This window comes from Homo sapiens, chromosome 18, assembly GCF_000001405.40.
Source record: "Homo sapiens chromosome 18, GRCh38.p14 Primary Assembly".
Lineage (NCBI taxonomy): Eukaryota > Metazoa > Chordata > Mammalia > Primates > Hominidae > Homo > Homo sapiens.
In genome coordinates this window covers 6,826,575-6,839,229 of record NC_000018.10, presented here as the reverse complement: position 1 = coordinate 6,839,229, position 12,655 = coordinate 6,826,575, and the positions used below count along the sequence as shown (strand labels likewise).

Genomic DNA, 12,655 nt, shown 5'->3' with positions numbered 1-12,655 from the left:
GTCCCTGAAGACTTTCAAAAAGATTGTTAAGAAGTATAATAGCCTTTTCAAAACCCACAAGACACGTTACTTGTCCTTCATTTATTTGGTTGTTGTTGTGGAGTCTATCCCAATTTCCCATAAAATCATCCCTTGGTACTGCTGCAGTATCATAGCATAAAGAACTCTAAGTGCCACTAGACATAAGGACCACAGTTGCTGATCATAAACCATGATGCTGCTGGGTGATGTCTGAATAAGAACATCTGATACGGATGGTCAGATGAAAAATACAAAAATGTCAGGCCCAAAGAATTTAAACCAGCAAGGCAACCTTTTACTACAGTAGGCATCTTGGTCAGGACACCTGTAGCTAATGTCCTTGCCTCACATTGTGGAAGTCACCTTTACTCAGTTACAGCTGTAGACAATCCCACCATCCAGAAAGACACAGGTTTACACTAGGTTGAAAGTCCAAATAGCTCAGAACTCAAAATGCACTTACCATAAGTTATATCATTATATATGGCAGAAGATTCTAGAACTATGTTATTCAATACATAAGCTACAAGCTACATGTGACTGTTCATATTTAAATCTATTAAGATTAAGAAAAATTAAAAATTCAACTTCTCACACTAGCCACATTTAAAGTGTTGGTAGTCATATGTATCTGGAGCTACCATACTGGACAGAAGTAGACTATTTCCATCACTATAGAAAGTTCTAAAGGACAGTGCTATTCTAGGACACTGTTAGCACAAATGCAAAGGTTAACTGGGCCTATATGAGCCGCCTTGGCAACTACCCAATGTGACTACTTTAACTAAAAGAAGATATGACTTACAGACAACCTTAAGTAATTCAAATTGGAGACTGTCTTCAACCATGATTTCTACTCAATACCCCTGAAGTTTTAATGTATGCCATTATTGATACTATAATTAATCAGACAAGAAACCTAAATCAGAATGATTAACTAGCTTGCCCAGGTAACTTATCTCTAATTGCAGCTGACCATCAAATTTCCTTTTTTCTATATACTAGTTATCCCAAATGTTTCAAGAATCCCATCTGCATAGAACCTAACCTAGGATCTTGCGCAGATAATGCATCTGTCGCATCTGTGATGCAATTATTGTAATGTAACATTGCAATTGTGCAATGAATAAATGAACAAGTAAGCTATAAGACAGAGCTAGCAGTAAAACAAATGTAGACATAGGAAAACATGAGTAATAGCCTTAGATGTAAAATTGTGGACATGAAATTGCTAAGGGTAAGCTAGAACTTCAACCAGCCGTTTATCATAAAACATGGGATGTTTCCCTTATGCTTTTCTGAATCATTCTCTTGCCCACTTAATTAATGCTGGTATCTTCCATTTTTTGACCATTTTAATTTATCTGAACATAAAGGCTACCCTACCCAATCTCTCATCCCCACCCCCCATTCAACCAAACCACCTGGTCTTGCTTACTTCCCTAGGACTCCTTTGCCCGACCACAGAGTTTCCATTCAGTGCTTAAATTTAAGTAAAGGGTCCCCGGATCCTACCCACAAAGACTTGTTCCACTGCCAAAGAAGTCACTCTCTGATTTCAACAAAGGGAATAAGTTTAGTATTGAGGGAGATTGCAGTACAGGAGATAAGAAATGATCACTTAAGTTCAAACTTGTAAAAATTTGCACTGTGCTGTCTGCTTTAGTTTTCTCAAAAAGTTAGAATGGAACCACCCAAGCAGACATTTCTGATATTTTTTCCACCCCAGCCCCACCCTACCCCATCCCCAGTCAAACTAGGCGCCTTTTGAGCCATGTTTGAGCCATTACTTACAGGAGATTCACTGACTCCAAAAATGTCTCTGACATCCCTGATAGATTGCTTATCCTTTTTCCTCATGGTTTGGGTATAGGTATGGTATCTCTTTTGCACGGCAGCTGCTTGGGTTCGAGTCAATGTGGAGAGCAAGGCTTTGCCATCTTCCTCTTCATCACCTGAGATCAGAGTTGATAAACCCACATCTTGCAGCCATTCTGCTTCAAGTTCTCCTTCTGTGAAAGAACATTACCAAGAGAGGGTTAGAATATTTTCTGTATGATTGGATGCCATGTGAATATCAGACAAGAAGTATTGGTAAATAATATTTGTATTTTTTTTCTACAGTAATTATGGGAAAGAACTACAAGAATGAATGAAAGTCTGCACTGTATTTTTAAAATAAGTCAAATTTTAAAGTATTTTCTAATAGAGTAAGGTAATTGGCAGACTTGGTAAGGTAAATTTTCCTGCTAGAGAGTTAAACATGAGCCATATCTGTCCTACTAATTTCAAAAAGTGATAAAACATGAATATTTAAAGTAAAACTATAATAGAAAAAACCCATTACTTAATGGAATACAAATTGGTTTTTCAATCACTCACATGGAGGTTCAAATGCCAGGGCCACCATTCACCAGCTGCCTGATTCCTAAGTCTTAACGATATCTCGAGGCCTCAGTGTCCTCTCAGCAAAATAAGTATAGTGAACCTCTATAGTTTTATGTTGTCTTGGCATCCCTTTTGAATATGGGCTTAACTTTCTCATACCAGAAGCAGGGCTTAGTCACTCTTGATGTGGTTTCCAGGTGTCCAACTCCTCCCAATTCCTCCATATAGCAGATCCAGGTATCTGCCTTATACAATCACCTCTTGGTGGTGACTTCCTATGAGACAGCTGGATACAACCTGCCTGACTCATCCCACCAACCCACACCCACTACATGAACTGCACAGATAAGGTGCAGTGACCACATCTCAGTCACAGAGCGACTCCCTGCTTGCTCTAAACCCACCAATTAGGACTCCTGGTGGGAAACCTGCTTGGGTAATGCTTGGATCCTAATTGAGGCTCTGGTCCCCAGGTCCCTCACTCACTCTCACTCTTTCCTGTTCCCTGCCTGCTTGTTGATTGCAAGTGTCCCGGATGGCTGCCCCTTCCCATTGGCCCTGAGAGACGAGCTGCCATCTTCTCCCTGGGATCTGTTCTTTCTCTTATTTCATGTGTTTTGCTGAGTTGCCTCCTCTGTGTCTCACCTGGCCAACACACCTGAACCTAGCTTATTTCCAGTCAGGGCTCTCTTCTTATAGCATCTGCCAGTACAAACGAGTTTCCTGTAAGAGGGACACCCAGTCATGGGTTGAACATGAAGGTTTTAGGCCACCCACCAGGATAAAGAGGTATCCTGTGAAAGGCAAACATCAGTGACCAAATCCCCTGTAGCTCCATCAGAGCAGGGTTAGTTTATAGCTGCTCACCCGAGAGAGACCTCAAGACCAAATTAGAGAAAAATACAACAGTGAGAGTAATAATAACAAAAGGATTAGGTGCCTATGAGGATTTTTTTTTAAATCAATGTATTTATGACAGGTAGCAAAGAATCTGGAAGAAAGTCGGTATTCAATTGATGTTCATTCTCCCACCTTTCTCCTTATTCTGAATGTTAATCTCTTTTTTTCAGAAGAAAATTCAAAAACCTAAAATTCCTCAATATATAGAAATATAAGGAAATCAGAATAACAGTGTCCTGTAACAGAAAATCTACTACACATATGTTTCTGGGAACTATGCTAAGGAGGCATTACCCAAGTGAGGGTTGTTTAAAGAGCAGATTAGACTAATTTGTAAACAGCATGCCAAAGCATTAGTCTAGTACTGGATTCTGCTTACATTATTGCATCACTGGTGTATAAACAAAGCCTTTGATGTGTATTACAGGCCCAGTTTCTTAGCTAGGCAAATATTTAATTTGCTATCTTAATTGTTCATTTGCTTTGTAAGCTGTCCCTTTAAGAAAAAAATGAAAAGTGAATTGATGATTGGCAGCCGTAATCTAAGTAGTAAGCCCTTTAAGTTAAGAGTTATGACATGGAGCTCTTCCTTAAGCTATAGATAAGCTTTTAATTTCTGAAGACAAAATTTACAATTTAATATTTAATATGTTAATATTAAAATTTTAAAAAGTTGTTTTTCCCCTCCACCTATGTAAGGAGTAATGAAAGAGTGGGAGGAAAGAGTACTTGGTAGGACTGGAGTTGACATAAATCAGAGGTGAGGATGGTCTAAGTCCTTAAACTGCAGCCTAAGTAGGATGTATGTTTTCCATAGGTAAGAAATGTTCAGGGCAGATACCAGTATTACTCCTGTTGGCTGCTCACTCTAGTTGTCAAATACATAACTTCAACACAGAGAACTCCTTTGAATTTCAGTTCCATATATCTGACTGCCTATTCAATATCCACTTGGCTCTGTCATTCATATGTCATATTCACTGTGTTCAAACCTGAACTCGTATTTCTCACTCCCAATTCTAGGCCTCTTTCAGGATTCCGTATTTCAACACACGAAACCCACCATCCAATGTAATTAGGCAAGAGAATAACCAGGAGGCATTCTTGACATCTCCCTCTCTTTCACACATCAACTCCAACACACCCCCAAGGCCTTTTCATATTGCCTCGTTATTACTACTCAAAAGGTCCACCTTCCTTTATCTCTTCTGCCGTGACCCTGGTCAGAGCTACATCCTCTCTCTTGTGGATTGCTGTGATAGACTCGCAACAGTTCCTCCTATGCCATTCTTGATCCCCTTCTAATCTATTATCCATATTATAACTAAATGAGCCCTTTCAAATGAAAACAAAAATAATTCTACAGTGTGAAACGGCTTACATTTCTGGACATGCTTATACCATACTCTCCTCCTCTCCTGTTCTCTGGCAATACTGGCCTACTTTGGATTCCTCAAAAACTCAACATTCTATTTTGTCACAAGGTCTTTGGACATGTCAGTCCTTCTACTTGACCTCATAATTACTGGCCACCCATCTTTCAGATCTCAGTTTCTACATCTTTTTCTCAGGAAAGCCTCTTTTTCCCTGAACTCATCAAGATAAGGTCATGTCCTATTGCTATCAATCCTAACACTGCTGTTTCTTCTTCCTTCAAGTAATTTTCTCCTCCAAATATATTTATATTATTTCATTAATTACTTTCTCTTCTACTAGATTATCATCTCCTTGAGAGAAAAAAAATTCTGCTTTTTTTTTAATCACTCTAACACCAACACCTTCCAGAGTGCTCTATTAGAGAGGCTGTATTCCTTATCCTGCTCTAAAGGGAGTTCATTTTAGTTCCCACAGTTAACTTGACTGGACTCATAACCTCCACTGCTTGCCCTGCTCTATGCAACATCTGTAATCTTGGTTAGTTAAAAACAGCTTTCAGCAGTTGTTTTTAAATGGGATGCTTAGAGTCTCCATATATATTCCCTAACTGACTCCCAGATAAAATGTGGGGCAATCTGAACATCAAAATAAATGACAGTAAAAGATAAACCCACTAAATAAACCAGGAGTCCATTCTGATATAAAGAAATAACTTGGTGTAGAGTGGGATGTTTATACAGTTTGAAGGTACCTCCCAAGATAACAGTAATTACAAAAATGAAATGACTAAGTTCACACTGGAGAAACCTTGCATGTATATATCACCTTAAGTAAGTGATTGAAGTGGACATCATCAGTGACAGAACAAATTAAAATTATGAGCCACCTGACAGGATGCCATGAGAAGAACACAACATCACAACTTGCCAAAGATGTATAACCTGAGTCTAAGTCATTGGGAAACATCAGACAAACCCAACTTGTCTGATGTAGAGGAGCATCTATAAAATTACCTGCAATTTTCAAGTGTCAAGGTCATAAAATTCAAAGAAAGGCTAAGAAACTGTTCCAGACTGTAAAGGGGAGAGAGAGAGAGAAAGAGAGAGAGAGAAGAAAGAGAAACACGTTTTTCAATTAAATATAACAAGTGATTCTAAACTGGAGGGTTTCTTTTTTTGTCATAAAAGGTAATCTAGAAACGATAGCAGTCTGAGGACTGGATGATAGTAATATAATAAAAATAATTATTAATTTTAATAGTATGTTGTGATTATACAGCGAATGGCTTTCTCTCTATATAAGTGTGTATGTATATATACATATAATACCTAAAGTACTTGGGAGTGATAGAGCATCAGGATGGCAAGTTACTCTCAAATGGTCCCTGAAACTGTCTTTAAAACTGTACTTGTGACTTCCCTATATGTTTGGAATTATTTCAAAATTAAAAGAATATAAGTACATATGACAACTTAAAGCAAAAATGACAACATTGCATTGATGTATGTACAACATATGCAGATGTTATACATAAAACAATAGTATAAACCACTGGGCATGAAGAAGAATGAAATTCTACTGCTGCAAGATTCTTATATTTGATATAGTGAATGAAGCATAGTATTTATCTAAGTAGACTATGATAAGTTATGGATGAATATTAAAATGCCTGAACAGCAACACCACCAATTAAAGCAATATAGCTGAAATGTAAGCATAGAAACTATGAAGAAATTGTGAAGAAAAACACAGACAGATAGGTAAAGAGTAAATGGATGAAATAAGATATATCTTGCAAACAATAACCCTATAACCCTAAGAAAGCCAGAATGACTATATATTATTAGACGAAGCAGACTTCAAGACAGGGAATATTACTAAGAGTATTGAGGAAGCTCATTTATAATGATAAAATGAGTCAATTCAACAAGGAGTAACAATCATAAATGTATATGCACCCAATAACATAGTTTCAAATTATAAGCAACAAAAACTGACAGAACAAAAGGAAAAAATAGACAAATACACAATAAAAGTTAGAGATTTTAACAACTTCTCTCAGTACTTGTTAAATCAATCAAAGATTAGTAAGAACATAATAAATGTGATTAAAGTTACCACCACCTTAATCTAATGAGCATTTACAGAACACCACACTAACCAACAAGTAAAACACATTCTTTTTAAGTGCACATGGAACCTTGACCAAGACAGACAATATTCTGAGCCATAAAATAAGTCTAAATTTCAAAACTGAAACATATAAACTATGTTACATAACACAATTTACTTAGAAATCAATAACAACATGTCTAGAAAAAAACCCAAAAATTTGTAAATTAAAAAATACACAAAGAAATTGAGAAAACATTTAAAACTGAATAATAATGAAGATATATCAAAATTTGTGGGATGGAGTGATAGCAATGCTTATAAAGAACTGTACATATTCAAAAAGATGAAAGATTTAAAATTAATGGTCTAGGTTTCCATCTTAAGAACCCAGGAAAAAAGCAAATTAAACACAAAAACATAAACAAAAGGAGATGTAGATTTTACTAATTTGTTTTCAAAGAACCAACATACTAGAAAAGCACATTATATAATTCAACACCCATTCACATTACTGCCAGAAAAACTAGTAATAGAAAGACATCTGGTAAACAGCATTTACAGAAAGTTTACAATTACCATCATGTTTAATGGTGAGTACTGAACCCGTTCCCTGTAAAACTGGGAACATGACAAGGATATGTAAGTGCTGTCACCACTTCTATTTAACTTGTACTAGAGGCCCTAGCCAGTACAATAAGGCAAGATAAAAAATAAAAGCACAAAATATCAGAAAGGAAAACTGTCTCTATTCATAGATGACCTGTTTGCTTATGTAGATAATCCTAAGAAATCTAGTAGACAACCACTAGAAAATCATTTTAGGAAGCTAATAGTATATAACATCAAGATACAACCAGCATGGCACATGTATACATATGTAACTAACCTGCACAATGTGCACATGTACCCTAAAACTTAGAGTATAATAAAAAAAAAAAAAGAAAAAAAAAAAAAAAACATCAAGATACAAAAATGAACTGTATTTCTATATGCCAGCAACAAACAACAGAAAAGACAGAGGCAAACCCAATTAAAAGATCTCATTAAGAATATGAATGGACAAGTCACAAGCAGTGAGAAAATATCTGCAATACATATATCTGACAAAGGACTTGTATCAAGAATATACAGTAATAAAAAGTTTTAATAAAAAGTCAGTAATAAAAAGTTTTAAAAAATAGTCAAGAGTTTTCACAAAGCAAGATGCATGAAAAGACAATAAGCACAAGAAAAAAGTTCAACATCATTAGTCATCAGCGAAATGTAATTACAACCATAATGAGATACCCCACATATCCACTAGAATCACTCATATGATGGAGACTGAAAGCATCAAGTGTTGCAATGATGTGGAAATGGAACTGTCTGTCATACACTGCTGGAAGGAGTGTAAAATAGTACAACTACTTGGAAAAATGCTGGCAGTTTCACAGTTTCTTATGTAGTTAAACATTCTATGAAAAATACATACATCCAAGAGAAATAAAAACATATCTATACAAAAAGACTTTCACAAGATTGCTCATAACAGCATTATTCATTGTAAGCAAAATTGTAAACAAGGCTCAAATTAAAAGTAGATGGATAAACAAATTGTGGCATATTCATAAAATGGAATATTACTGTTATGGGTTGAGTTATGTTCCCCAAAAACGTATGTTGAAGTCTTAAATCCTGGTATCTATGAATATAACCTTATTTGGAAACAAAGCTTTTGCAGACACAATTAAGATGTAAATTGAGATGAGGCTGGAATACTATGCAGCCATAAAAGGATGAGTTCATGTCCTTTGCAGGGACATGGATGAAGTTGGAAACCATTTTTCTCAGCAAACTAACACAAGAACAGAAAACCAAACGTCACATGTTCTCACTCATAAGTGGGAGTTGAACAATGAGAATACATGGACACAGGGAGGGGAACATCACACACCAGGGCCTGTCAGGGGCTGGGGGGCTAAGGGAGGGATAGTCTTAGGAGAAATGTAGGTGAAGGGTCGATGGGTGCAGCAAAACACCATGGCACGTGTATATCTGTGTAACAAAATTGCACGTTCTGCACGTGTACCCCAGAACTTAAAGTATAATAATAATAAAAAAAGAATAGCATTCACATTATAACATTGTAAAGAAAAAAAAAGAAAGAGTGAATAAAATCCAGAATTTGGTAGCACAGTACGGTGACTATAGTTAACAATAATCTATGGCATATTTTATAATAACTAATAGAGTGGAATTGGAATGTTCCTAACACAAATAAATGATAAATGAAGTGAAAAAAATTGAGATGAGGTCATACTGGAGTAGGGTGGGCCCTTAATCCAACATAACTGGTATCTTTATAAGAAGAAGAGAAGAAACACAGACAAAAATAGGGAGAATGCTATGGACTATGGAGACAGAAAATGGCACAATGTGGTGTCAACAGCCAAGGAACACCAAGGATTGCCAGCAACACCAGAAGGTAAGAGACAGACATGGAACGCATTCTCCCCTAGAAGGTTCCAGGAGAGCATGGCCCAGCTTGACACCTTAATGCTGGGCTGCTAGTCCTGCTGTTTTAAGCCACTAGTTTTGTGGTACTTTGTTACAGCAGCCCTAGTAAACTGAAACAAACTACTTAATAGTAAAAAGAAATAAACGATTGATATCCCACTAGAATCTCAAAACTATGCTCAGTGAAAGAAGCCGAACCCCAAAATAATTAATGATGCAAAAACATGGGAGCCATGGTTGTCTCTGGCCAGGGTTGGCAAGTCATTGGGAGGCATGAGACTGGGAAAAAGCATGAGGAAATTTTCTGGGTTGACTGAAATGTTATCTATCTTGATCAGTGTGAGATTATAAGAGTGCATGCGTTTGTCAAAGCTCATTGAATTGTATGTTTAAGATCTGTGCAAATGCTTCAAGGAAAAAAAATCTGCAAATAAATAACAAACTGTAATTAGTAGGTCTGCTTTTGTAGCAGTTAGGTTAGCAAACCTGAAAATATTTCCTGTGTATTCTAGGTTTGAGCAAATGAGTAAATATAAAGTACAGAGTGGGAGCCAGGTTTATCACTATTGGAGAAGAGAGTTACAAACACAGAAAAAGGGAAGACAGCAACAAGCCCTGTGGAGCTGGACTGAAATTGGAGGTTATTGTGAACTTGTGGTGTTTAATATGAATAGCTAGCTAGCTGGATAGATAGATAGTAAGAAAAAGGGGGTAAGGGATGATAGGGATTTTCCTTTATGTGTCTTCCTGTCTTTCTGGATCTGAAAAGGCAAAATCTAAGCAAGCAAGTAATAGGAGTAAGAATACATTTCACTGATGGAGGATGGTTCCCTTGAATGGATTCTCGTTACATGTGTGGTGGGGCGTTTTATTTCAAATAATATCAGATGTATGTTAATTGTGGTACATCTTAATGATTTCTTAGTCCTGAGAAAGAGACTCAGAAATGGGAATGAAGAATGAAAATACTTTCTAAAGTTTCAGTTTATCCTGCCCACTGTCTTGAAGTTAATCACTGGCTAATGGAAACACTCTTAGGTGTATACTTACTAAACTACCTTTAGTCTTTTTTGGATGTCTTACATATTTGCTTGTTGACAGACAGGGCCTGGAAGAGATGACTGACCTATGCTTTTAATCCACTATGAGTAGTTTTGCTCTTTTTGAGAACTAAGGACAATTACACTGTTTATTGGTGCTTATTCCCCACTCTTCCATCTTCTGTTTAGTTTCACAAGCAATGGGTAAAAGACTCCCTATTCAATAAATGGTGCTGGGATAACTGGCCAGCCATATGCAGAAGAATGAAACTAGACCCTTACCTTTCACCACATACAAAAATTAACTCAAGATGGATTAAAGATTTAAATGTAAGACCTCAAACTATAAAAATGCTAGAAGAAAATGTAGGAAATATCCTTCCTGACATCAGTCTTGGCATAATTTTTGGCCAAGTTCCCAAAGGCAATTTCTATAAAAACAAAAATTGACAAGTGGGACCTGATTAAACTAAAGAGCTCTCTCCTCTCTCCTCTCTCCTCTCTCCTCCTCTGTCTCTCCCTCTCCCCACGGTCTCCCTCTCCCTCTCTTTCCACGGTCTCCCTCTGATGCCGAGCCGAAGCTGGACTGTACTGCTGCCATCTCGGCTCACTGCAACCTCCCTGCCTGATTCTCCTGCCTGGGCCTGCCGAGTGCCTGCGATTGCAGGCGCGTGCCGCCACGCCTGACTGGTTTTCGTATTTTTTTGGTGGAGACGGGGTTTCACTGTGTTGGCCGGGCTGGTCTCCAGCTCCTAACCGCGAGTGATCTGCCAGCCTCGGCCTCCCAAGGTGCCGGGATTGCAGACGGAGTCTCGTTAACTCAGTGCTCAATGGTGCCCAGGCTGGAGTGCAGTGGCGTGATCTCGGCTCGCTACAACCTCCACCTCCCAGCAGCCTGCCTTGGCCTCCCAAAGTGCCGAGATTGCAGCCTCTGCCCGGCCGCCACCCCGTCTGGGAAGTGAGGAGCGTCTCTGCCCGGCCGCCATCCCATCTAGGAAGTGAGGAGCGCCTCTTCCCGGCCGCCCATCGTCTGAGATGTGGGGAGTGCCTCTGTCCGGCCGCGACCCCATCTAGGAAGTGAGGAGCGTCTCTGCCCGGCCGCCCCGTCTGAGAAGTGAGGAGACCCTCCGCCTGGCAACCGCCCCATCTGAGAAATGAGGAGCCCCTCCACCCGGCAACCACACCGTCTGGGAAGTGAGAAGCGTCTCCGCCCAGCCAGCCGCCCCATCCAGGAGGGAGGTGGGGGGGGGGTCAGCCCCCCTGCCGGCCAGCCGCCCCGTCTCGGAGGGAGGTGGGGGTCAGCCCCCCACCCAGCCAGTCGCCCCGTCCGGGAGGGAGGTGGGGGGGTCAGCCCCCCGCCCGGTCAGCCGCCCCGTCCGGGAGGTGAGGGGCGCCTCTGCCCGGCCGCCCCTACTGGGAAGTGAGGAGCCCCTCTGCCCGGCCAGCCGCCCCGTCCGGGAGGGAGGTGGGGGGGTCAACCCCCCTCCCGGCCAGCCGCCCCATCTCGGAGGGAGGTGGGGGGGTCAACCCTCCGCCCAGCCAGCCGCCCCGTCCGGGAGGGAGGTGGAGGGTTCAGCCCCCCGCCCGGCCAGCCGCCCCGTCCGGGAGGTGAGGGGCGCCTCAGCCCGGCCGCCCCTACTGGGAAGTGAGGAGCCCCTCTGCCCGGCCACCACCCTGTCTGGGAGGTGTACTCAACAGCTCATTGAGAACAGGCCATGATGACAATGGCGGTTTTGTGGAATAGAAAGCGGGGAAAGGTGGGGAAGAGACTGAGAAATCGGATGGTTGCCGTGTCTGTGTAGAAAGAGGTAGACACGGGAGACTTTTCATTTTGTTCTGTACTAAGATAAATTCTTCTGCCTTGGGATCCTGTTGATCTGTGACCTTACCCCCAACCCTGTGCTCTCTGAAACATGTGTTGTGTCCACTCATGGTTAAATGGATTAAGGGTGGTGCAAGATGTGCTTTGTTAAACAGATGCTTGAAGGCAGAGTGCTCGTTGAGAGTCATCACCACTCCCTAATCTCAAGTACCCAGGGACACAAACACTGCGGAAGGCCGCAGGGTCCTCTGCCTAGGAAAACCAGAGACCTTTGTTCACTTGTTTATCTGCTGACCTTCCCTCCACTATTGTCCTATGACCCGGCCAAATCCCCCTCTGTGAGAAACACCCAAGAATGATCAATAAAAAAAAAAAAAAAAAAAAAAAGCTCAAAATCCTTTGCCCCAGTGGAAGCAGAAGGGCTTCCTTTGAGTGGCACCCAGAGTGTGCTGGGGCAGGCTCATACGCGCTCGTGGGAGATGATTATTAAATGCTC

At 40.3% G+C, this 12,655-nt stretch overlaps 1 protein-coding gene across 14 annotated transcripts in view; it reads right to left on the bottom strand.

Annotated features, from left to right (window-relative positions):
• ARHGAP28 (Rho GTPase activating protein 28) overlaps positions 1-12,655 on the bottom strand; it is a 186,001-nt gene that overhangs the window by 76,487 nt on the left and 96,859 nt on the right. For 12 of the 14 annotated variants that reach the window (NM_001366230.1, XM_005258146.3, NM_001410873.1 and 9 more), the window contains one exon: positions 1,816-2,033. In NM_001366230.1, the coding sequence (NP_001353159.1) occupies positions 1,816-2,033 (218 nt within the window). Of the gene's footprint in view, positions 1-1,815; positions 2,034-3,054; positions 3,133-4,690; positions 4,746-12,655 lie in introns of those variants that run through there. The other 2 variants (XM_047437803.1, NM_001010000.3) reach the window with 2 other exon arrangements.